Below are 25,383 nucleotides of genomic sequence, written 5' to 3' on the forward strand. Positions count from 1 at the left end.
AGATCAAAACCAGATCCAGATTTCAAGGCTAAACACAAAATCACCATTTTCAAGAAACCTTTCCTCATTTCTGTAATTAACTGAAAACATATGTGGCTTTTAACCAGAACTTTCTCTGGACTTCTTAGAAAATTTTTACTTCACTCTAATTACCTTGTGTTGTGTATTTGACTAAATAAGACTAAAGTCTCCTAAAAGACTAAACTTTGCATAAGACTCTTTGTTACTCATTTATGCAACTTCTGTGTCTATTATTGGAATAAATGAAAATGTGTTGTGCTTTTCATATACACAGAGAACACTGTACTTCAGGTGGACTTTTTTTCACTGTTGATCAGGCAACGTGTTCAGTAATGGAAACTGATGGATGAAAAAAGATATTCTTTGTCAATAAAAACCAAAAATAGTAATAAATAATTCTGATATCATGGATAGAGCCACCAAGCTGCCTCATTCAGTCAGAAAAAATATTAATTGCCAAAAAAGAACACATATGCATGCACACAATTTTATGACTTATCATTATTATTAAAAAGTTACATGTGTTTGTGATTTCTTCTTTCCAAACAGAATTTTCACAACTGAAAACTATACAGATTCTTTAGGCTTTTTTTTTTTTTTTTTTGAGATGGAGTCTTGCTCTGTCACCTAGGCTGGAGTGCAATGGTGCGATCTCAGCTCATTGCAACCTTCGTCTGCCGGGTTCAAGCAATTCTCCTGCCTCAGCCTTCTGAGTAGCTAGGACTATAGGCATGCCACCACTCCTGGCTGATTTTTTTTATTTTTAGTAGAGACAGGGTTTCGCCATGTTGGCCAGGCTGTTCTTGAACTCCTGACCTCAGGTGATCTGCCTGCCTCAGCCTCCCAAAGTGCTGGGATTACAGGTGTGAGCCACTGCGCCTGGCCAGAGGACATAATAATTTTAAATGTATATGCACCCAACACTGGAGAACCCAGATATATAAAACAAATATTATTAGAGCTAAAGAGAGAGATAGTCCCCAGTACAGTAATATCTGGAGACTTCAATAGTCCACTTTCAGTATTGGACAGATCTCCCATACAGACAATCAACAAACAAACACTGGATTTAATCTGCACTACAGACCAAATGGATTTAATAGATATTTACAGAACATTTAATCCAATGGCTGCAGAATACACATTCTTTTCTTCAGCACATGGATGATTCTCAAGGATAAACCATATGTTAGGCCACAGAACAACTCCTAAAGATTAAAAAAATTGAAATAATATCAAGCATCTTCTCTGACCACAATGGAATAAAACTAAAAATCAATACATGGAAATTAAACAATATGCTCCTGAATGACAAATGGGTCAATGAAGAAATTAAGAAGGAAATTGAAAAATTTCTTGAAAACATGATAACGTCAAAACAACATACTAAACAGCAAAAGCAGTACTCAGAGAAGCTGATAGCTCTAAGTGCCTATATCAAAAGGAAGAAAAAATTCAAATAAACAATCTAATGATGCATCTTAAGGAATTAGAAAAGCAAGACCAAACTAAACCCTAAATTAGTATAAGAAAAGAAATAATAAAGATCAGAGCAGAAATAAATGGGACTGAAATGAAGAAAATGCAAAAGATCAATGAAACAAACAGTTGGTTTTTTGAAAAGTTAAACTAAACAAACCTTTAGCCAGAGTAACTAAGAAAAAAAGAGAAAAGGTCCAAATAAATAAAATCAGAGATGAAAAAAAGGAGACATTACAACTGATAGTGCAGAAATTCAAAGGCTCATTAGTGGCTACTTTCAGCAACCATATGCCAATAAATTGGAAAATCTAGAAGAAATGGACAAATAACTAGACATACACAAACTACCAAGATTGGACCAGAAAAAAAAAAACAACACAAAACCTGAACAGACCAATAACAAGTAACGGGATCAAAGCCGTAATAAAAAGTCTCCTAGTAAAAAGAAGCCTGGTACCTGATGGCTTCAATGCCAAATTCTACCAAACATTTAAAGAACTAATACCAACCCTACTCAAACTATTCTGAAAAACAGAGGAAGGAACCCTGCTAAACTCCTTCTATGAGGCCGGTCTTACCCTGATACCCAAACCAGACAAAGACACATCAAAAAAAGAAAACTACAAGCCAGACCGGGCGCGGTGGCTCACACCTGTAATCCCCCACACTTTTGAAGACCGAGGCGGGTGGATCACCTGAAGTCAGGAGTTCGAGACCAGCCTGGCCAATATGGGGAAATCCCATCTCTACTAAAAATACAAAAATTAGCCAGGCATGGTGGCAGGCACCTACAATCCCAGCTACTCAGGAGGCTGAGGCAGGAGAATCACTTGTACCTGGGAGGTGGAGGCTGCAGTGAGCTGAGACTGTGCCATTGCACTCCAGCCTGGGCAACAAGAGTGAAACCCCATCTCAAAAAAAAAAAAAAAAAAAAGAGGAAACCATAGGCCAATATCTCTGATGAATATTGATGCAAAATTTTATCCTCAGCAAAATACTAGCAAACCTAATTCAACAATATATTAGAAAGATCATTCATCGTGACCAAGTGGGATTTGTCTCTGGCATGCGGGGATGGTTCAACATACACAAGTCAATCATTATAATACATCATATCAACAGAATAAAGGATAAAAACCATATGATCATTTCATATGGTTTTTTATTGATGTTGAAAAAGCATTTGATAAAATTCAACATCCCTTCATGATTAAAAACCCTAAAAAAACTGGGGATACAAGGAATATACCACAACATAATAAAAGCCATATATGACAGACCCACAGCTAGTATCATACTGAATAGGGGAAACGCCGAAAGCCTTTCCTCGAAGATCTGGAACACAACAAGGATGCCCAATTTCACCACTGTTATTCCACATAGTGTGGGAAGTATGGTTAGAGCAATCAGACAAGAAAAATAAATAAAGGGTATCCAGATTGGAATGGAAGAAGTCAAATTATTCTTGTTTGCAGATGATATGATCTTATATTTGGAAAAAACCTAAAGATTGCACCAAAAAACTATTAGAACTGATAAATTCAGTAAAGTTGCAGGATACAAAATCAACATATAAAAATCAATAGCATTTCTATATGACAACAGTGAACAATCTGAAAAAGTAATAAAAACATAATCTCATTTACAAGAACCACACATAAAATTAAATACCTAGGAATTAACCAAAGATGTGAAAGATACCTATAATGAAAATTAGAAAACACTTATGGAAGAAATGGGAAAATATTCTTTGTTGTTGGATTGGAAGAATCAGTATTGTTCAACTGTCCATACTACCCAAAGCAATCTACAGATTCAGTGCAATCCCTATCAAAATACTAATGACATTCTTCACATAAACAGAAAAAACAATCCCCAAATGTATATGGAACCCCCAAAGACCCACAATAGCCAAAGTTTTCCTAAGCAAAAAGAATAAAACTAGAGGAATCACATTACCTGATTTCAAATTATACTACAGAGCTACAGTAACCAAAACAGCATGGTACTGGCATAAACACAGACACATAGACCAATGTAACAGAATAGAGAACCTGGAAACAGATCCATACACCTACAGTGGACTCATTTTCGACAAGGATGCCAAGAACATATACTAGGGAAAAAACAGTCTCTTCAATAACTGGTACTGGGAAAACTGTATATCCCCATGCAGAAGAATGAAACTAGACCCCTGTCCCTGGCCAGATACAAAAATCAAATAAAAATGAATTAAAGACTTAAATATAAGACCTCTCAAACTATGAAACTACTGCAAGAAAACATTAGGGAAAATCTCCAGGACATAGGTTGGGGCAAATATTTCTTGAGCAATAAATACCCCACAGGAACAGACAACCAAAGTAAACATGGACAAATTGCATCACATCAAGTTTAAAAAGCTCCTGCACACTGCTTCTTGGGCTTTTGGCTAAGATCAAGTATAAAAAAGCACCTGCACAGCAAAGGATACAATCAACAAAGTGAAGAGACAACTCACAGAATGGGAGAAAATATTTGCAAACTACTCATCTGACAACAGATTACTAACCAGAATATATAAGGAGCTCAAACAACTCCAAGGGAAAAAATTGGATAATCGGATCAAAAAATGGGCAATAGATCTGCTTAGACATTTCTCAAATGAAGATATACAAATGGCAAACAGGCATATGAAAAGGTGCTCAACCTCATTGATCATCAGAGAAATGCAAATCAAAACTACAATGAAATACCATCTCACCCCAGTTAAAATGGCTTATATCCAAAAGACAGGCAATAACAAATGTTGGGAGGATGTGGAGAAAAGGGAACCCTTGTACACTGTTGGTGGGAATGTAAATTAGTACAAATACTCTGAAGAACAGTTTGGAGGTTCCTCAAAAAACTAAAAATTGAGCTACCACAGGATGCAGCAATCCCACTGCTGGGTATATACCCAAAAGAAAGGAAATCAATACATTGAAGAGCTATCTGCATTCCCATGTTTGTTGCAGCACTGTTCAGGATAGTCAAGATTTGGAAGCAACCTAAGTGTCTATGAACAGGTGAATGGGTAAAGAAAATGTGGTACATATACACAATGGAATACTATTCAGCTATAAAAAAGAATGAGATCCTGTCATTTGCAACAGGATGGATGGAACTGGAGATCATTATGGTGAGTGAAATAAACCAGGCAAAGAAAAACAAACATCTCATGTTCTCACTTATTTTTGGGATCTAATAATCAAAACAATTGAACTCATTGACATACAGAGTAGAAGGATAGTTACCAGAGGCTGAGAAAGATAATTGGGGGCTTGGGGAAGTGGCCATGGGTACAAAAAAATAGAAAAGATGAATAATACCCACCGTTTGATAGCACAACATGGACACTGTAGTCAATAATTTCATTGTACATTTTAAAATCACAAAAAGAGTACAATTGGATTGTTTGTAACACAAAGAATAAATGATTGAGGGAAGGATGCCCCATTTCCCATGATGTGATTAGTATGCATTGCATGCCTGTATCAAGACATCTCATGTACTCCATAAATATATACACCTATTATGTATCCACAGAAATTAAAAATAACTTTCCCAATTATTTGTAATGGAAAATGGCTGTATTGTCCCACTGAAATTATTTTTTCCTTGGTGCAGAATCTGGGAAAGGCCTCAACTGTGCATCATGGGAAATTGATTTTTAATAATACATCTCTAGTTGTGCACATGATTAGGGACTAACTCATGGTAAGTAAAGTCAGCAGAAACTTCTTCCTCTCACCAGGTTCCTGGGAGGTTGGCTTCTTGATGAGTTAATTGCTCATGGAGTCTGTACCTGAGCCAGTAGAGACAGTCGTGAGGGGTATTTTTGGACATCACAATTTAGAGCTTTCCCTTGGAAGGTGCTGGGTAAGCACCGCTGAAAATTGCCGTTCTTTGGGTGCCCCGTTTCTAGGATATATGTAGACTTTACTTCCTGCCCTGTCTTTTTTTGTTGTTGTTGTTGAGACGGAATCTTGCTCTGTCACCCAGGCTGGCGTGCAGTGGCACGATCTCGGCTCACTGCAACCGCTGCCTCCTGGGTTCAAGCAATTCTCCTGTCTCAGGATCCCATGTAGCTGGGATTACAGGTGCTCACCACCACACATGGCTAATTTTTGTATTTTTAGTAGGGACAGGGTTTCACCATGTTGGCCAGGCTGGTCTCGAACTCCTGACCTCAATTGATCTGCCTGCCTCAGCTTCCCAAAGTGTTGGGATTACAGGCGTGAGCCACCGTGCCAGGCCCTCACTCTGTCTTTAAGACCTTAATCATCTGGATACTGCCTCCAAGTCTTCCCAGCAACATACCTTGTTTCTTTTCTCTTAAGCTCCAACTGCTCCCCCTTTATACATCTGTATTCCTTATGGTAAAATAAACACTAATTATGCTGCACCATGACTATCTGTTATTTTTCCTTGCCTGGAGGAACAGCTCCTTGAGGGCAGGGATCATTTTTTATTATCGTACTCATACCCAGCTACTGCCTGGCATACAATGGATGCTCAAAAAACTTTGCCAAATGAATGAATGAACAGTAGACTTTGTCTAATCTCATGTATGTATTCATACCATTTTCACTTGGAGAAGGTGACTTCTTACAAGTCTTAATGAAAACTTACTTCACCCATTATGTACTAAGGGATCCACGTTTCACTACCTGATGAAATATGCTTCTTAAGGTGTGTACAGTTTTGGCTGCTTTTCAAGCTGGACTTGCTCAATCCGTTAGTCATCTTCCCTGGAGCTAAGTGCTAAAATGTCACAAATTGCAGCTGGTTCCTTGTTTCTTTCCAACATATATCTCTCATTTTACTGTTCAAACTATGTTCTTAGTTAAATGTATACCTGAGAATGACAGAGGCATGTTATGAAGAGGCAACATATGTCCCTAAATGGACCTCTGTCCCTAAATAAACTTGGCGGGTTTTTTTTTAAATCTTTCTTTCAGCCTCATCCTGAAAAACAACCTGATTTCATACTAATTAATAAAAACTGAAATGTTTCAACAGGAGGTTAATTACTAGCTAGGATGAACAAATGCAATAGAAAAACTGCCTCTGAAATACCGGGTAATTGCTGACAAACTGAAAGGACTGTCTGAATTGTAATTTGGACAAGGGAATTGATTTTAATAGGACTTTTGGGTTTTAAAAATTCCTAGTAAAGGGCCGGGCACGGTGGCTGACGCCTGTAATCCCAGCACTTTGAGAGGCCGAGGCAGGCAGATCACGAGGTCAGGAGATCGAGACCATCCTGTGTAACATGGTGAAACCCCGTTTCTACTAAAAATACAAAAAAAAAATTAGTCGGGCCTGGTGGCGGACGCCTGTAGTCCCAGCTACTTGGGAGGCTGAGGCAGGAGAACGGCGTGAACCTGGAAGGCGGAGCTTGCAGTGAGCCGAGATCACACCACTGCACTCCAGCCTGGGTGAGAGCGAGACTCCGTCTCAACAACAACAACAACAAAATTCCTAGTAAAGAATTCAGCTGTCATCCTTATTTTGAAAATTAATCCTAGAGTTAAAGCTAGTTGAGCATTCACTGCCAGGTTGGAAGTGCCGACCAATGAACTTTTTAAGTTAAAAAAAAAGGGGTTATATTAGTATTTAAGTTATGCCAAATATTTTAGATATTAAAGAAAGTTGTATTTACAATTATATTGTTTAATTCTCAATATATTACCAAATATATAGTTTATTTAAAGATGGGAAAAATTAAAATCTACTTATGTTTGAGTTCTAATCCTATTTTGCTATGCAAATCTAATCCTGATTTGCATAGCAAAATCAAGATTAGATTATAATGTTGCTAAATGCAACATTATAATTATGCATTCCACTAAAACTGTGCAATTTGTGAGAAAGTCCTTTCTACTCTCTCTGCTCCTTTTGTTCTTAATTCTAAGGCCAAGTTTTTAGTTTAGATTTTTAAAGTAAAAATGGAACACCTATTCAGTTAAATTTGTTTTTATGTCATAAATCATTACTCGTTGGAACACAATATTCAGTGAAGACTTTTTTTTTTTTTTTGATATGGAGTCTTGCTCTGTCACCAGGCTGGAGTGCAGTGGCATGATCTGGGCTCACTGCAACCTCTGCCTCCCGGGTTCAAGCTACTCCCCTGCCTCAGCCTCCTGAGTAGCTGGAACTACAGGCGCGCGCCACCACGCCCAGCTACATTTTGTATTTTTAGCAGAGACAGGGTTTCACCATGTTGGCCAGAATGGTCTCGATCTCTTGATCTCGTGATTCGCCTGCCTCGGATTCCCAAAGTGCTGGGACTACAGGCGTACGCCACCGTGCCCGGCCTCAGTGTAGATATTTTTTAAAGCCAAGAAAGCCATAAGTATTGCACAAGTTATACACGTACCTGAATTTACATGCACACATAGATATCAGTTCATGGGACTCACTCTCCTGTTTAAGATATGACCAGAGGCTTGTAACGACAATGTAGAATTCTAAGACAGCACAATAAAACAATCATAAACTAACCACTTCCCTTTGCCAAGTTTAGCAAAGTGGATGGAACAGGAAAAAAGATGTTCATGATAATCCTATTTCATATAGATTAAGGCTGGATTAAGGTGCAGCCATTCAGATAAGGGGAGGGGTATTAAATTATCCGAAGGTCTCATTTGGTTACTATTATTTCTTAAGGCTTTTTTAAGGCTAAAGACGGCTGAAAGTCACTGGACACCTTTGTAGCCTTGTCATCTGGTCCTGGCCAGATCTGAGTTGAGAAAAACCAGCCTCAGATCCGCCTCTGCAGGAGTTGGGCGCTCCCCACTCCCTGCACGCCCCGACTCCAACACTGGCTTCAGCTTCAATCCCAGAAAAGTGGATCAAAACGACAGGTTCCACGAACAAACACTGCGCCGGCGCCTCTACTTTGGAGAAAAGGAAAAGGGCGTGAGGTTTCGGTCATTTTTGTCAAAGGAAATCAGATGAAAAGGGGTGTACAAAGGACCAGGTCTCGTGAGCGCAGCCAATCTTGTCCGCTCCCAAGCGACTCAGGCTCTTGGCAGGACTTGCTGTAGAGTCCCAGACGGAGTTAGCCACTGAGTCCTTCAGCGACCCAGGAAATAACAACACTGTTGGCAGGTGGGGGAGGGCGCCCGGGAAGATATCCAATAGTGGCGTCAGGCAAGAGGACAGAAATGCTCCTTTCATTCACCTTTCGAAGCAGAGCATTTGGTCCCCGTTGGCCTCTGACTCTCTGTTGCGGCAATCTAGATGTTACCAGAATTCCCGTGTTTCCTTCATATTCAAAGGCACAGGAAATCTGGGGTGCAAGCGGACTGCTGTCTCTCAAGGAATAGAAGTCTGTGACAAACGTATAGAAATGAGTTTCATGTTGAACAAGATCCGTTTCTGCGTTCCTCCCTCATCCAGCCTTGATTCTCCAGATGCTTACCAACTTCTTAATATTTACCTCAACTGCAAGGCTTTCAACCGGCGCTTTTGTTAGAATACTACTATCTTCCCATTAAAGCAATGTCCACACTCAGTTTGCTTGGTGAAAATGTTAATAACGCACACTTAGAAAAACGGTGATAACCGTTGCTTGCATAAAGTGGCCATTTGAATAGACTTTGGATCTGATTTAGAGATTTAGGGATGGATGTTTTAAAAAAAGCAAAAGTAGTAACAGACTATAGCATTGGTAATGTGTGTGTGCATATATACATATTATTTTTAAAAAAATAAAGTTCGATTATTTCACCTGGCTTGTCAGTCACCTATGCAGGCGTCTGAGCCCCCGGGTTTCCAGGAGCCCCCCGTATAAGGACCCCAGGGACTCCTCTCCCCACGCGGCCGGGCCGCCCGCCCGGCCCCCAGCCCGGAGAGCTGCCACCGACCCCCTCAACGTCCCAAGCCCCAGCTCTGTCGCCCGCGTTCCTTCCTCTTCCTGGGCCACAATCTTGGCTTTCCCGGGCCGGCTTCACGCAGTTGCGCAGGAGCCCGCGGGGGAAGACCTCTCGTGGGGACCTCGAGCACGACGTGCGACCCTAAATCCCCACATCTCCTCTGCCGCCTCGCAGGCCACATGCACCGGGAGCCGGGCGGGGCAGGCGCGGCCCGCAAGGACCCCCGCGATGGAGACGCAACACTGCCGCGACTGCACTTGGGGCAGCCCCGCCGCGTCCCAGCCGCCTCCCGGCAGGAAGCGTAGGTGTGTGAGCCGACCCGGAGCGAGCCGCGCCCTCGGGCCAGCGTGGGCAGGGCGCCGCAGCCTGCGCAGCCCCGAGGACCCCGCGTCGCTCTCCCGAGCCAGGGTTCTCAGGAGCGGGCCGCGCAGGAGACGTTAGAGGGGGTTGTTAGCGGCTGTTGGGAGAACGGGTCACGGAAACAGTCCCTTCCAAAGCCGGGGCCATCGTGGGGTGGGCGAGTCCGCCCTCCCAGGCCGGGGGCGCGGACCAGAGGGGACGTGTGCAGACGGCCGCGGTCAGCCCCACCTCGCCCGGGCGGAGACGCACAGCTGGAGCTGGAGGGCCGTCGCCCGTTGGGCCCTCAGGGGCCTGAACGCCCAGGGGTCGCGGCGAGTCCACCCGGAGCGAGTCAGGTGAGCAGGTCGCCATGGCGATGCGGCCCCGGAGAGCGCACGCCTGCCGCGGTCGGCATGGAAACGCTCCCGCTAGGTCCGGGGGCGCCGCTGATTGGCCGATTCAACAGACGCGGGTGGGCAGCTCAGCCGCATCGCTAAGCCCGGCCGCCTCCCAGGCTGGAATCCCTCGACACTTGGTCCTTCCCGCCCCGCCCTTCCGTGCCCTGCCCTTCCCTGCCCTTCCCCGCCCTGCCCCGCCCGGCCCGGCCCGGCCCTGCCCAACCCTGCCCCGCCCTGCCCCGCCCAGCCGGCCACCTCTTAACCGCGATCCTCCAGTGCACTTGCCAGTTGTTCCGGACACATAGAAAGATAACGACGGGAAGAGCGGGGCCCGCTTTGGGGTCCAGGCAGGTTTTGGGGCCTCCTGTCTGGTGGGAGGAGGCCGCAGCGCAGCACCCTGCTCGTCACTTGGGATGGAGACCGGCTTTCCCGCAATCATGTACCCTGGATCTTTTATTGGGGGCTGGGGAGAAGAGTATCTCAGCTGGGAAGGACCGGGGCTCCCAGATTTCGTCTTCCAGGTAACGTGGGTTTAGTATCCCGACTTGGAGGCTTGTCAGAATGTTTCTCTCCTTCCAGCCCAACACGAAGTCTTGGGATAAAAAGCCTCCCTCAGGGATTCAAATAACTGTTTTGATTCAGAGCAACTTTGATCGCCTGTGCGGTCGCACCTGCCCTTTCAGCCCCAATAATTACTGGGAAGATCAGCAATTGGTGTTAGTCCCATTGCTTGGTGCTCTCCCTCCTAGAGGTTCGCTGTGTCCTTGGAGCCCGGGGTGGACGGAATCGACTAAACAGCTTGTCTGTTTCTCTTTCCCTGGTAGCAGCAGCCCGTGGAGTCTGAAGCAATGCACTGCAGCAACCCCAAGAGTGGAGTTGTGCTGGCTACAGTGGCCCGAGGTCCCGATGCTTGTCAGATACTCACCAGAGCCCCGCTGGGCCAGGATCCCCCGCAGAGGACAGTGCTAGGGCTGCTAACTGCAAATGGGCAGTACAGGAGGACCTGTGGCCAGGTAATGACTCAGACGCATTGAGAATGATGCTTGTGGAGAACAGCTCTCCTGCTTTGGTGCCAGGTGCTTTTCTCTTGCCCTTGTACCTACAACTCCCCCTGAGTATTACAACCCTGGAATCTGGACTACAGGAAAGTTGATTGATTTATTTTCTTTCTTTCTTTCTTTCTTTCTTTCTTTCTTTCTTTCTTTCTTTCTTTCTTTCTTTCTTTCTTTCTTTCGTTCTTTCTTTCTTTCTTTTCTTTCTCTTTCTTTCCTTCTTTCTTTTTCTTTGTTTCTCTTCCTTCTTCCTTTCCTTTTTTTTTCTTTCCTTTCCTTTCCTTCTTTTTTTTTTTTTGAGACGGAGTTTCGCTCTTGTCGCCAGGCTGGAGTGCAGTGACGCGATCTCGGCTCACTGCAACCTCCACCTCCCGGGTTCAAGCGATTCTCCTGCCTCAGCCTCCCGAGTAGCTGGGATTTCAGGCACCCACCACCACGCCCGGCTAATTTTTGTGTTTTTAGTAGAGATGGGATTTCACCATGTTGGCCAGGCTGGTCACCAACTCCTGACCTCAGGTGACCCGCCCACCTCGGCCTCCCAAAGTGTTGGGATTACAGGCGTCAGCCACGGTGGCAGGCCAGTTGATTTCTTAAGATCACCTTGAGGGGTTCGGTTTTCAGCTAGAAATAGTGATTAGTTTTCTTTGTTATTTTTTCCACTATCAAGGAAATAGGTCTAGGAACTGTTTGGGTTATGTATATTAAAGTAATTTAAGGGCTGGGCTAAAAGGAAATGTGAATGCTTCCAAATAAACTGTGGAACTGGGGTTCCTCCAGGTTAGAGCAGTGTTCACATTGATGCAGGCTGTGCCTAAAGCAAACCTGGATAATCTTGGCTGTGTTCATTGCGGATAGTGTTAAAATCAGGATTAGATCAGGCTAGATTAGATTACTCCAAAATGGGTGCTTTGAAGGCAGACATCTTCCCAGTACTGACTAAGCAGCTATGCTAACAGGTAATGGTCCCTCAGATATTAGTTGTGTGAACTTAACTGATCATAGATACCTTAACCAGACTGAAAACTATACCTTTCCTATTTCATAAGTGAGAAAATCTGAAAGGTTTAAGCCTCTGCCAAAAGAAAGCTATGGTAGAAACTAGATTAGAAGCCTCTCATCTACTGACTCTTCACATGCTCTGTTCAAAGCTTTGGAGAAAATTGAGTGGAAGTGGTTTTAACAAATTTTAATTTGCTTAGCAATGTTTGCTTTTTAAAACTTAACGCCTGAGACTTGGTTCTTATGAATTGTCAGTTGTGCCTGTGTTGAATGGTCGCATTTTAAATTCCCAGTTGCTAACCTCTTATGTTACCTGGTGCCACTTCTGCATTTCCCTGTACCTATCCTCTACAACCTGCTTAGAAATCTATTTTGTACCTTCCCTTCTCTGTTTAATCCTCAGTAACCTCCTCCTTCATGCCCAGTCTCAGCTGATCACTTTGTATCTTATTTTCCTAAAAATATAGAAGCAAGCAGAAGAGAATCTCCACATGTCCCTGTGTGCCATATAATCTGCCATCTACATCCTGTTATGTGACTGCTATGTCCCTGCTGTCATGAGAGGTGCCCCCCCCCCCGCGCCATGCGTACAATATACTCGTGTCTTCTTGCTTCTTCAAGGATGTTACTCTAGCCACTTTTCTTTCTCTCATGAGTTTTTTCTTTTCTACTGGGCCAAATCTGTAAGCATACAAATATATTGCCATTTTCCCATCTTAAAAACCTTTCAACTAAACGCTCCCTCTGAGTATTACAACCCTGGAATCTGGACCACAGGGAAGAAGTTGACTTTGTAAAATCACCTTGACCGGTCCCTTTTTCAGCTAGAAATGGTGACGAATTTTCTTTGTTAGTTTTCCAATATCAAGGAAATAGGTCTAGGAGCTGTTTGCATTATGTCGATTAAAGTAATTTAAGTGCTTAAAGAAATTTAAGTAATGGGACAGAAGCTATCCCATTTAAAGCCACATATCTTGAGAGTTTGTCGTATCTTGACATATATAATGTTGCCTTTCCCACTAACATGTAAGCTCCATCCAGGTGTTGATTTAGGTTGTCATGTTCACTGTTGTGTGTCCATTACTTTGAACAGACCTGGGCCTGGCCAGGATGGCACACATTGTTTGTTGGATGAATGTTCTCTGTCTCTAGTTCTTTTCCTGCTCTATTTGGACTCAATTCATAGTCTTTTCCTTCCTCGACTGATCAGCATTATTTGACATGGCTGATCATTATTTTTTCCTTGAAATAATTTCTTCTCATTCAGCTTGTAGAACACCACTCTCTCCAAGTTTTCTACCTAGCTCATTGGCCACTGTTTGATATTCTAATTGTTACTTATATATATAGTCTGTACAAGTTAGAGTGCCCTAGGACCTAGTCTTTGATCTAAATCTTGCACTCACTCCCTTAGTAGCCTCTTAGTCTCCTAGCATTAAACACTCTCTATTTGGTGATGACTGATATTTCTATCTCTGGCCTGGGCCTCTGAGGTTTATTGCAGGCTCACATATTCAGGAGCCTACTTGGCATCTCCACTTAGGTCATATAATAAGCAACGTATAAAACGAAACACCCATCCTTTTCCCTACTCCCAGACTGCTCTTCCCAAGTCTTCCTTGTCTCAGTAAATGGAGTAGCCATCCTTTCTGTTATTTAGCCTCCAAACCTTTGTCTTCCTCGATTCTTATTTTTCTCTCACCCCACATCTAATCTTATGAGAAAATATTATTAACTCTACTTTTTAAATGTCTAGAACTATTTTGCTCTTCATGGTTTACAATTACTTCCCTGGTTCAAATCCCTATTGTGTCTCACTTAGAATTTTCAAGTTTTGTAATTGATTGGCTTACTTACTCTCCACCTGTGCACAGCCAGAATCATCCTTTTAAGAAATGAAAAGATTATGCCACTCCTTTGCCCAAAATTCCAGTGGCTCCTGTCTCTGAATAAAAGCCAATTCTTAGATCAGCCTTGGCAAGTGAACAAAAACAAAATAATAGTAATGAAAACTAATCCTTAATTGGCCTATGGTAAGTGCTTCATGATTGGCCTCTTTTTTCTTTCTGTCCTCATGGCCTATATGACTGTCTCACTCTGCTCTGTTTGCTCCTACTGTGTCTTTTCTAGTTTGTTTCAGTCTTCTTCCACAGACTAGAATATAAACTCCATCAAGGTAGTTCTTTTTAAACATTTTGTTCACTGCTAAATTCTGGGCACGAGAAAAGCTTCTAGCACATAGTAGATACTCAGTAAATATTTGTTTATTAAATATATGTCCCAGCCTATGGACACAGTATCTATGTAGCAAGAGTCAAACCTGGCAGTAACTTGGAGCTGTGGTTGTAGCAAGAGTCAAACTTCGCAGTAACTTGGTTATCTGGTTACAGTAACTTATGATTGTGACTCTTTGTTGTCTTTGTGATTTCCCCCCAATTACTACCATAAGTGTTCGTTTTCTTACAGACATAAGTCACCTATTTAACTTGATAAATAAAAGGGAGAGTTATGGAACCACCTACTAACTTAGAAGTAGCCTTCAACAGTACACACCAAGATACATTATAAACAAAATGTTAATGTGGTAGACAGAGCTGGCATTTGCGTAAATATAGCTCAGGTTCATAGAGCTGCCCACCTGCCCTGATTCAGCTGACATTCATGCCATCTGGCATGGCTCACCTTAATATGCAACAGTGTTTGATGCATTATGCTTGTTCACTGTGGCGGCACCACAGTTGTTCCCATTGTTCATGTTATAAGAATAGAGAAAAAGGAGAAGTGACTAAGAAATTTCCCCAAGAGTAAATGCATTATGTCATACGTAAAGGTTCTGTGGCTTGTAAGAGAATTTAGCAGCATCAGTTTCCAAAATCGTGTTTCTTAATAAGTGGATATAAAATGGAAACATTATAGGGGCCTTCTGGCTAAAAAGTTATTTATTTAAGGAGGGGAATTGTAGGAACTCAGTCACTGCATCAAGAGTTATGCTGACTACTTATAAAATCTCATGATGCTATAAATATGAAAGCCAATTTACAGTTTTCCCTTTATATGTGGTACCCATTTCATTTTGGAAGAGAGCTATAGGTTTTCTTTTTTCTACAATCTTGAGTTTCCTTTGATACATATGTGAGGTAGATTAAAATTTTAGGTAGCTCTTTCTCCAAATATCAAATGTAGACAAAGATAAGGGGGGAAAAATTACACTTTTGAAGACCTTTTTTTTTTGGAATTAAATTGCCGACATAGATTTTTCAGTTTAGAATGTATCTTACCTTCCCAGGCTGTTGGTTTGAGTCATGCAGGTTCACATTGCCTCTGTGGTCTTTGACGTGGCCTCTAACAAAAGATTTAAACGTTTTTTAGGGGATCACAAGAATCAGGTGTTATTCTGGATCAGAAAATGCCTTCCCTCCAGCTGGAAAGAAAGCACTCCCTGACTGTGGGGTCCAAGAGCCCCCCAAGCAAGGGTTTGACATCTACATGGATGAACTAGAGCAGGGGGACAGAGACAGCTGCTCGGTCAGAGAGGGGATGGCATTTGAGGATGTGTATGAAGTAGACACCGGCACACTCAAGTCAGACCTGCACTTCCTGCTGGATTTCAACACAGGTAACTGACTTGCCTATGGTTGATGGCTGATGGTACCCTGTATTTATAACTGCCTGCAGCATTCAATAGCTAGTAACTAGCAAGAGAAAAACAGCAAGTAATAACTGTATTCACAACTGCCTGTAGAGGGTTAGTGGATTGAACAAATGTTTAAATTAAATGAGTTATCTGACAGTGTTGAACTCTTGCAGTTTCCCCTATGCTGGTAGATTCATCTCTCCTCTCCCAGTCTGAAGATATATCCAGTCTTGGCACAGATGTGATAAATGTGACTGAATATGCTGAAGAAATTTATCAGTACCTTAGGGAAGCTGAAGTAAGTTTTCCCACCTTCTACTTCAATCTTCAGGACCCGAGCTCTTATTACTAAGATAAATTATAAACTCTTGGTCCATAACCACTAGTGAATGGCACTCTTATGCCAGCTAAACATAAGAATATCTATGAAAAATAATAGTTGTGATGGCAAGTCGCAATTGCTTGGACTATTTCTACATGATTCAAAGGGTTTATATGTTAAATATTTCACTCTTAGGAATAATTCATATTGCCATTCTCCCCTGCCCCCCCAACCCCAGGTTAATTTGCTAACCAATTACTTTACAGAACCAGAAATTTACACTTTCTTCCTTGTTATGATAAAGATTTATTTGGCTCTGATCAGAATCTTTCCAACCTTTGCTTGTGAGATTTTTAAATAGCAACTATATTGTGGAATGATCTTTCTGAAATTGCAACTACTAAATATCAAAACCTTTTCCCAATCAGATAAGGCACAGACCCAAAGCACACTACATGAAGAAGCAGCCAGACATCACGGAAGGCATGCGCACGATTCTGGTGGACTGGCTGGTGGAGGTTGGGGAAGAATATAAACTTCGAGCAGAGACCCTGTATCTGGCTGTCAACTTCCTGGACAGGTTCCTTTCATGTATGTCTGTTCTGAGAGGGAAACTGCAGCTCGTAGGAACAGCAGCTATGCTTTTGGCTTCGTAAGTGTTCTTTCAGCTTGCATAATATGAAACTATCACTTGTCAAAACATGGAATTTTTGTCCTCTATTTCTTATTGAAGAAATGCAATGCTTGATAATTAAAACTAGTCATGTGTCCTTTGATAAAAGATCATCCTCTTCACAGGATTGACTGAGAAACTGAAACTTACCACATGTTTACTCTTCAATCACCTGGTTATGATTTATAGCAACAAGTTCAGTGTCATGACTAAGGCAGCCATCATCTCAAATTCAGGATCTAATTTAACTATTTTGCAGTGTAGTCTTTTTGCTATTTCCTATCTATTAAGTCCTATTTAAAGACAGTGTGGTTACAAAAAGCTATCTTCATGATCTAGCAAATGACCCATAATAACAGGTTTATTTGGTTACAGTGAATAAACTACTTCAACTGGTTCCTGTTACTATCATTCATTCATGAAAGTACCTAATTGTGTGGGAAAAGAGAGCTGGGTTGTGGCTGAGCTACCTTTAAGTGACCTGTTGCTGAGTGGTAGTTTCTTTTCTGTTCTTCTGGTCTCAAACATTCTATTGTTAATGCAGAAAAACTTGCCAAAATTCCCCTAAAGAAAGTAGAAACAAAGGCAGAAGGAAAGAATTGATCATAGTGAAATTATATCATTATGTCTCTTGGCTATAAGCATCATTTGCTAATTCAGTGGACAAAGTTGAACAGCATCTTTTTAAAAACTAGAGGCCTGTGGAGTTTGTTTCTATCACTGTGTTGATCTTAACACTTTTTTCTATGAAGTGATTTGAGGTCTGTAGAATGTGTAGGAATTTACCTGTAGTGTCTGTCATTCAGAATCTTTCAGTGTATCACAGGCCCAAACCTAAAATTCTTGGTTGGAAATTGTTTCTGTTACTACTCCTAGCAGTAAATATAACCTATCCTTGTGATAATCATGTTCTTGGTCCAGAAACAAGCTCCTAGTACTTTCATAGCCCTGAGTCATTTAGTGGTATTTAAGTGGATATGTGGCTGCAAAGTAAGTCTGCAAGGGCCATGCGGAGAGGCGTGGCTTATGGTAGCACAGGAGTAGAGCCAAAGGTTCTAAGTTTTACTTCTGAAAACTCTTCCTTTCCCAGGAAATATGAAGAGATATATCCTCCTGAAGTAGACGAGTTTGTCTATATCACCGATGATACATACACAAAACGACAACTGTTAAAAATGGAACACTTGCTTCTGAAAGTTCTAGCTTTTGATCTGACAGTACCAACCACCAACCAGTTTCTCCTTCAGTACTTGAGGCGACAAGGAGTGTGCGTCAGGACTGAGAACCTGGCTAAGGTGTGTATGCCGCGTGATTTCTAGGAACTTCCAGTGCCAAGGAGCGTAAAAATCAACCTTTCCCAATCATCCTTCAGTTCTTTTTTCCTTTTCAGTTTTCTTCCCACAGGCCCAGAAAAACTGTTCCAGTGCTGAAAAAGAGCTAATTTTAAGAACCCAGCTTTTGGTTATAAGGCATTACTATTGACTATATTTGGCAGGCACGGGTTGTCTAATCACCCAACTATTTAAAAATTTAAGCTTGGAAACTGTTCTCTTATTGGATACAGACCACATACAAGCAAAACCTCCTAGGTTTATAGAGTGGGAACAAAGTAAATCTAGTTTAATAAGGTTTTAGTCTCATCCTAATATATTAAGTAATGAGCATTATTTGGTTGTTTGGAGTTACAGAACTTTAGTTGAAGGCATTGAAGTATTGCTTTGGTCAACTGGGTTTCCAGTGACCATAATCTAGGATATCTGGTATTTATGTGCTGTGCAAAGGGTAATAAGGATGTCCACATGTTTTACTATGTTTCTTCTAATATGAGATATTCCCACTGGTGCTGTCCTAGTCTCTGAACTGCCTGATAGATTAATAGCTTTAATATTTTTGTCTTTTGGCTAAAATCTCTGTTCCAATTCCAGCTGCCAGAGCAGTACCACTTTATCTCAGCATAAACCTAAACTATTAGCATAAGAAAAGTAACCTATCACCTATACTTTGAGTAGGCCAAATACTTTTGTATTGACATTTTACCAAAACATAAATGTTACTGTTGTTATAGACAGGCATACCAATTACTAACCCAGTAAGTAATTTTGAGCATCTATTTTTGTAGATGCCGACTGAACAAAGATAAGATACCATTTATTTCCTTGCCATTTCCAGGCTTACTTGTGACCTTAGTCACATTTCTAATTCCAATGTGTTTTCTTCTCTTGTGCTTAGTACGTAGCAGAGCTGAGTCTACTTGAAGCAGATCCATTCTTGAAATATCTTCCTTCACTGATAGCTGCAGCAGCTTTTTGCCTGGCAAACTATACTGTGAACAAGCACTTTTGGGTAAGATTCTAACTTCTTTCTAGATGAAATTCAAGGTCTATCTAGAATGGGCTTGCCTCTTATGAGGGCAAGTTAGTTTAATAAGGATCTGGTCAACTTGACAGCAGACCACAACATGCCACTGAGTCTTCCAGGTCAGTCATGATGGCTTTGACTCAATGGCTTCACTCTATGAGGACTGAGATTGCAGGAAGTCAAGGAGACAGCATCACATGCTCCTTCAACAGAAGCAGGCCTGGGAACCTCAGTGCCCACTGTTATTCAGGGAGGGCCCTTGAGGTACAATCATTGACTGCTTCAAGCAAAAGTTGTTGACTTTTACCTTCTATATTAAAAACAAAAACCTAGGTCCAATTAGGATGGCCAGAAGATTGCACCTCAGGCTTTCAAGACAACAGGGCAGTAAAGTGTTGCCTCTTGCCCAAGAAGGTGGCAACATCAGAAATGGACCCCTAGGTTTGGTTCTGAAGGCTCACTGTTGTACTAAAAGAAGTGGGGTGTCTACCCTTATTTTCATGAATGCTTATGTTTTTTTCTGCTGCATTTTCTTTTTTTAAAAATTTTCTTTTACTTTTTTTTAAGTAATTCTTATTCCAGCACTGCAGTGTTTTGACTAAAAATTTTTCATGTTGTGTACAAATAGAATGGTCAGGCAAGCAGGGCTCTATAAGGACCAGTAAAAATTTCACTCATGAGGGAACAAGGAAAAAGTGATCCAGCCCCAAATTGAGCATTATAAATTTATAATATGAGAAAATTTAGAGCCTTGGCTGTTCTTTCTGATATTTTACATCTAAAATCTCTGAAGGGGGTTCTGGTCTCTTTCGAGATGAATGTGAATATTTACTAAGGGACTAATTCCCTTTATTTCAAATTGGTTATCTTCGGATATCTAATATAAAGTTATGTGAAGCAATTTTTTTCTTTTGTCTTGATTAGCCAGAAACCCTTGCTGCATTTACAGGGTATTCATTAAGTGAAATTGTGCCTTGCCTGAGTGAGCTTCATAAAGCGTACCTTGATATACCCCATCGACCTCAGCAAGCAATTAGGGAGAAGTACAAGGCTTCAAAGTAAGTCACTGACATTTTCATATCTTAGCTCTCTATTTAAAGCTTAATGGGTTATAGTAATGGTTACTAGATTAAAAATAGATTAAATTGTGTATCTGGTGCCAGGTTGGAAAAGTAAGGGTACGTGTACAAATTTACAAATAAATTTGAAAAGACCTAGATTTATAATTTGTCAGCTTTTAATACTTGTAGTCAGCCAGCTTCCTTCCTTCCATTCTGTTAAAACTACTGGAAAGTTTTCTGTGACCTGAGATTTTATCAAACCAAAGTCCTTGGCTTGTGCTGACCTTGCTTTGGGTCTTGTTTCAGGTACCTGTGTGTGTCCCTCATGGAGCCACCTGCAGTTCTTCTTCTACAATAAGTTTCTGAATGGAAGCACTTCCAGAACTTCACCTCCATATCAGAAGTGCCAATAATCGTCATAGGCTTCTGCACGTTGGATCAACTAATGTTGTTTACAATATAGATGACATTTTAAAAATGTAAATGAATTTAGTTTCCCTTAGACTTTAGTAGTTTGTAATATAGTCCAACATTTTTTAAACAATAAACTGCTTGTCTTATGACCATGTGTTAGATTTATTTACTAATTATCATGGCTGACATATTCGTCTGGAATGTTTGTTGAGAGTATTAAAAGTGTTATGTCTATTTCAAATATTCTTCAAAACTGGTTTTGTAAACGTGGCATGCTATTAGGATTAAGTATTCCAAGGCATCCAGGGATATTCATGTTTGGTAAATGGCCGCTTTGAGGCTTTTTTCCTTCCTGTCTCTTTATTCCCCAGGTAGCTCGCCATAGATTAGTAAAGGAAGGAAGGGACAGCGTAGACAGATGGGTGAAGAGATTTGAATATGCGCTGCCTGCTCTAGCTTCACTCTACCATCCTAGTCAGTAAGACAGGGGTTGAGGCCCAAATGTAGTCACATAGCTCTTAGAGGTCACTGACATTTAATTCTAATCCAAGGATAGCATGCTCATTTGTACAGGGCTGCTATTATGTCTATGATCAGGTTTGATTTAGGCACCCATTAAGCATATATTTCTGTCTTAGAAGATGCTTGCTTTGGGAGGTAGAAAAGCAAATTTCACCTTCGGAAGGAACATCAGAATAATGAACCCAACCCACCAACTGTGTCTCCTGGGAGACCTCTACCCTAAGCTTTGGTATGGCTTGAATTATTCATGATCTTTCATGATCTACAGTTTACTTCACTAATCTATATATGTTTTCTCTTCTCTTCTCTTCTCTTCTCTTCTCTTCTCTCCTCTCCTCTCCTCTCCTCTTTTCTGATGAAGTTTCAGTCTTGTCACCGTGGCTGGAGTGCAGTGGCATGATCTTGGCTCCCTGCAACCTCCGCCTCCCGGGTTCAAGCGATTCTCCTGCCTCAGCTTCCCGAGTAGCTGAGATTACAGGTGTCCACCACCACACTCAGCTATTTTTTTGTATTTTTAGTAGAGACAGTTTCGCCATGTTGTTCAGGCTGGTCTTGAACTCCTGAGCTCAACTGTTCCACCTGCCTCAGCCTCCCAAAGTGCTGGGATTACAGGTGTGAGCTACCACGCCCGGCACACCTGGCTAATTTTTTGTATTTTTTTTTTTTTTGTAGAGGTGGGTTTTTTTGCCATATTGTCCAGGCAGGTCTTGAACTCCTGGGCTCAAACCCTTGGGCTCAAGTGATCCACCCACCCACCTTGACCTCTCAAAGTGCTGGAATTACAGGCGTGAGCCAATGTGTCTGCCCAGCACTTACGTAGGCTACAAGATGGGTAAAATGGAAAACAAAACAATTGTTTAGAATTTCTTCTAAAGATTGGAAGGAAAAATGAGTAGATTTGGCCTTGAGGGTGGGTGGTGCTTTTTGGGGATTAAATGTGAATTTGCACTGTGCTCTTGTTATCACCAAAATTAGTTGCCCTGGACCAGTAGTTCTTGAGCTCTCTGGGCTATGTGTGCCTCTGCAGAGGGGCCTCTGGAGAGGGGACTCCATGGGGCGGTCCCGAAGACATGATTTGCTTTTTCTATCTCCAAAACCTCTCAAGGAGATAAGAAATCCATGTCTTCTAGATTCCTTTACATAGAAGAGGTTACACTCAGGCACGTTTTGGTGAAATGGATATAGATGAAATTCACTGCAGATTTTGTTTCTTTCAAGCTCTAATGAAATTATAAACATAAAAATACAGCCACATTTTATGAAGTCTTTAAAAAATTTTTAAGTACCCACAAGTTCTTAAAAGATTTTAACATTCCCTCCACCCTGCTTTTTTTTCCCAGCAGATAAACATTCTCAAGGTGTCTTCATTTCTGGGTCCAGTGAAGAAATTATTTCCCTAAATGTTTTGACATTTATTGCACACAGTTCACAAAGGGGATACAGGACCTGTATTAATACTGAATTCTGTTTTTATGTTATATGATTAATAACTCGTTATTTCATATTCTAATATATGACTATGTATGTTTCTGTTCACTGCATGAACAAGCTGAACTTTCCAACTATCCTTTTGTACTTCAAAAGGATGACAGACAAATTGCTTCCTCCCAAGTGGGGAGTGGGAGAGGGCAGTTCTGTTTTTTGTTGTTGTTGTTTGTTTATTGTTTTGTTTCTGAGGCGGAGTCTCCCTCTGTTGCTCAGGCTAGAGTGCAGTGGGACAATCATGGCTCACTACAGTCTCGACCACCGAGGCTCAAGTGATTCTCCCACATCAGCCTCCCGAGTAGCTGGGACTAAGGTGTGTGCCACCTGTGTCCAGCTTGAGGGCAATTCTGGGTAAGGTTTTGGTGGTAGAAGTGCTGTGTTTGTCCCTTTCAAGCCTTAAGGCTTTGGACTTGGCTAGGGAAGCTTCCTCTCATCCTTTACACACTTGTATTGGCTGATCACTTTCCTGTGATATGTGTGTTTGTTTTGAAGTGGACCCAGACACAATAACATTTTCTTTCACTGGTAGTATTCTTACTTTACAATGATTTGTGTCAGCTAGAGGGGACCTTGTAGAAATAGGTTCTCCACTGTGAATTATTTTACAAAGGAGCTTTTGTTTCTAAAACCAAATGCAAAATTTAGACTCAATTACAAAAACATATTATAGGACTGAACACGTAACTTTTATGTTCTTTGCTGATAGTGGTTTGCCCAAACCCCGTTCCATCCCACAACACACACACCCACTGATTGCGAAGGCCTGACCCTTATCTTAGACTTCCCTTTCTTAGTGCTTTTTTATGTCTCTGAAATACTTTATCTAAAAATAGAAATATAACCATCACCTGTGTATCTCCCGCCCAGTTTCAGAGGGAATAGCAGCCTGCATGTGCCTTCTTTTCATTGTTTTTCTTCCCTGAATTTGGTGTTGATCAAATCCGTGCATCATTTTTATACAATCTTGTGCCATATAATGATGTTTTGGTCAACAATGATTTGTGTATATGATGTGGTCCCATAAGATTATAATACTGTGTATTTTCACTGTACCTTACCTGTATTTAGATATGTTTAGATACATAAATACTTGCCATTGTGTTAGAGCTGCCTACTGTATTCAGTACACTAACATGCTGTAGAGGTGTGTAGCCTAGGAGCAAGAGGCCATACCACACAGCCTAGGTGTGGAGCAGACTATCCCACCGAGGTTTGTGTGAGTACACTCTATGATGTTCACACAGTGATGAAATTGCCTAACAATGCATTTCTCAGAACATATCCCCATTGTGAAGCGATGCATGACTATACATCATAAGAATGTGTCCATAAACAATAATGTTTGTTTTTAAAATGTAATGGTTATTGACTCTCACATCCTTCAGTGATAGGGATCTTAGGTGGCATTGTTTTTTGAGATTATATGAATAAGTAGAATCCTAGTTATTTATACTATTGTATTGTCTTATATGACTACACCATGATTATCTGTTCTGTTGATTTTCCCACATCTTCCTACCCCACTCCTTGTCAGCCAGCAATGGAAATTGGTTCAGACAGGGCTGTGGGTGTGGGAGTGCCATACCTGTCTGCCTCTGCAGGCTTTTTAACCTGTGACTTCAGACAGATCCAGGCCTTTCTGAGGAACTCATGCATGATCATGAACGTAGGGGCTCCTATTGAAGTGAGCCATGAGAGAGAACTATAGGAAAAGCATTTGCCAACCTTTTATCAGGAGCAAAAGCCCTAGAAATTATATGGATATATTCAAACTGTTCAGTTTCTGTTTTCCCAGTATGTTTTTGCCACCAGAGTTAAAATATCTAGACATTTTACCACTAAAACTTGGAAACGGACGTGTATACTCTTTGCTGAGAGTGCCCTTGCTGGTGCCACAGCCAGGCTTTATGTTCCGTGTGTCTGGACTGTGGGGATGGGGCCCGAGGTGGGGGAGGTGCTCCTCAGAGCTCATGCCTTTGGCCCCACTGGCATCCTGGCTCCAGGGCAAGGCCCATGTACAAGACCCAGGTCTCCTAGGATGGTTTTTGTTACCCCAGGGAGGATGTCCCATTCATCACAGGATGAATAGAAACTGACTTTAGGCAGCAAATTGTTTAATATGTCCTTCATCAGTGATTCCTGGACTTGATCGTGAGTTTTGAAAAACTAAATGGTCAGTGCTCAGTGAGCCAGAGTAATGAGGGAGAAGGCCTGAGGGGAGAAGCATGAGGACACAGGACCTGGGAAGGAGGCCATGGGTAACTGAGTCAAAGCAGGGTCTGTGGATGGAATGTTCTTGAAGAAGATGAAGTTTTCTGAGGCAGGTAAGTTGACTGACTGAGCTGATGGGCCCATTCACTTGACCGGAGTAGGTGTTTGCCCAGGCCGATGGGTACTCGCTTCTCCTTAGTTGTCTCCTCCCTTTCAGTCTGGCTGGATATCCTGCTGAGCATCTCCGTGTGTTTGCTCACATCAATCAAGACACAATTATTTGCATCAACTTGTTGCTACCTGTGAAATTTGACTAGCTAACTGGTAAAAGGGAGAGCTATTCCCACTTTGCAACAAACACACCAGGGAATGGTGGATAGTTATGCAGTTTCAGCCCACTCACGGCAAGTGCAGAAATGTTCTCAACTGATTTATAGTTCTATTAACTTTTTATCCTAAATATCCTTCCCCCTTTCCCCGGGTTTAACCCTTGACATTGATTGCTCTT

At 41.6% G+C, this 25,383-nt stretch overlaps 1 protein-coding gene across 7 annotated transcripts, besides 4 other annotated features; it reads left to right on the forward strand.

Annotated features, from left to right (window-relative positions):
* The first annotated feature begins 9,452 nt into the window (after positions 1–9,452).
* Positions 9,453–20,806, forward strand: CCNA1 (cyclin A1). Of its 7 annotated transcripts, none has more exons than XM_011535294.3 (9): positions 9,453–9,712; positions 10,969–11,157; positions 15,565–15,811; positions 16,003–16,127; positions 16,580–16,803; positions 17,915–18,119; positions 19,054–19,167; positions 20,107–20,240; positions 20,550–20,806. In XM_011535294.3, the coding sequence occupies exons 2-9, from the start codon at positions 10,993–10,995 to the stop codon at positions 20,599–20,601; spliced, it is 1,266 nt and encodes a 421-aa protein (XP_011533596.1). In that variant the 5' UTR covers positions 9,453–9,712; positions 10,969–10,992; the 3' UTR covers positions 20,602–20,806. The 7 variants fall into 7 exon arrangements, with proteins under 7 accessions (XP_011533596.1, XP_011533597.1, NP_001104516.1 ...); XM_011535295.3 differs by having other exon boundaries at positions 10,972–11,157; NM_001111046.2 differs by lacking the exon at positions 9,453–9,712 and adding an exon at positions 9,891–10,102.
* Positions 9,735–9,804: a silencer, noted in NCBI's record as "silent region_5264". NCBI's record gives its function as "represses an Ori minimal core promoter by ATAC-STARR-seq in GM12878 lymphoblastoid cells {active_cell/tissue: GM12878}" and the evidence as "EXISTENCE:reporter gene assay evidence [ECO:0000049][PMID:35858748]".
* Positions 10,085–10,134: a silencer, noted in NCBI's record as "silent region_5265". NCBI's record gives its function as "represses an Ori minimal core promoter by ATAC-STARR-seq in GM12878 lymphoblastoid cells {active_cell/tissue: GM12878}" and the evidence as "EXISTENCE:reporter gene assay evidence [ECO:0000049][PMID:35858748]".
* Positions 10,165–10,324: a silencer, noted in NCBI's record as "silent region_5266". NCBI's record gives its function as "represses an Ori minimal core promoter by ATAC-STARR-seq in GM12878 lymphoblastoid cells {active_cell/tissue: GM12878}" and the evidence as "EXISTENCE:reporter gene assay evidence [ECO:0000049][PMID:35858748]".
* Positions 15,425–16,624: an enhancer, noted in NCBI's record as "CDK7 strongly-dependent group 2 enhancer chr13:37011626-37012825 (GRCh37/hg19 assembly coordinates)". NCBI's record gives its function as "activates an origin of replication core promoter dependent on BRD2, BRD4, P300/CBP, MED14 and CDK7 cofactors, with strong dependence on CDK7, by STARR-seq in HCT116 cells {active_cell/tissue: HCT116}" and the evidence as "EXISTENCE:reporter gene assay evidence [ECO:0000049][PMID:35650434]".
* Positions 20,807–25,383: the final 4,577 nt, after the last annotated feature.

Source organism: Homo sapiens, chromosome 13 (genome assembly GCF_000001405.40).
Source record: "Homo sapiens chromosome 13, GRCh38.p14 Primary Assembly".
Taxonomy (NCBI): Eukaryota; Metazoa; Chordata; class Mammalia; order Primates; family Hominidae; genus Homo; species Homo sapiens.

What these genes read in the sequence shown, in the direction of transcription:
- CCNA1 (XM_011535294.3), top strand. Translation starts at nt 10,993, where the DNA reads ATGCACTGCAGCAACCCCAAGAGTGGAGTTGTGCTGGCTACAGTGGCC. An exon ending in GGACTGAGAACCTGGCTAAG is followed by an intron (nt 18,120 to 19,053) that starts GTGTGTATGCCG and finishes TCTTGTGCTTAG; the next exon opens with TACGTAGCAGAGCTGAGTCT. An exon ending in GAGAAGTACAAGGCTTCAAA is followed by an intron (nt 20,241 to 20,549) that starts GTAAGTCACTGA and finishes GTCTTGTTTCAG; the next exon opens with GTACCTGTGTGTGTCCCTCA.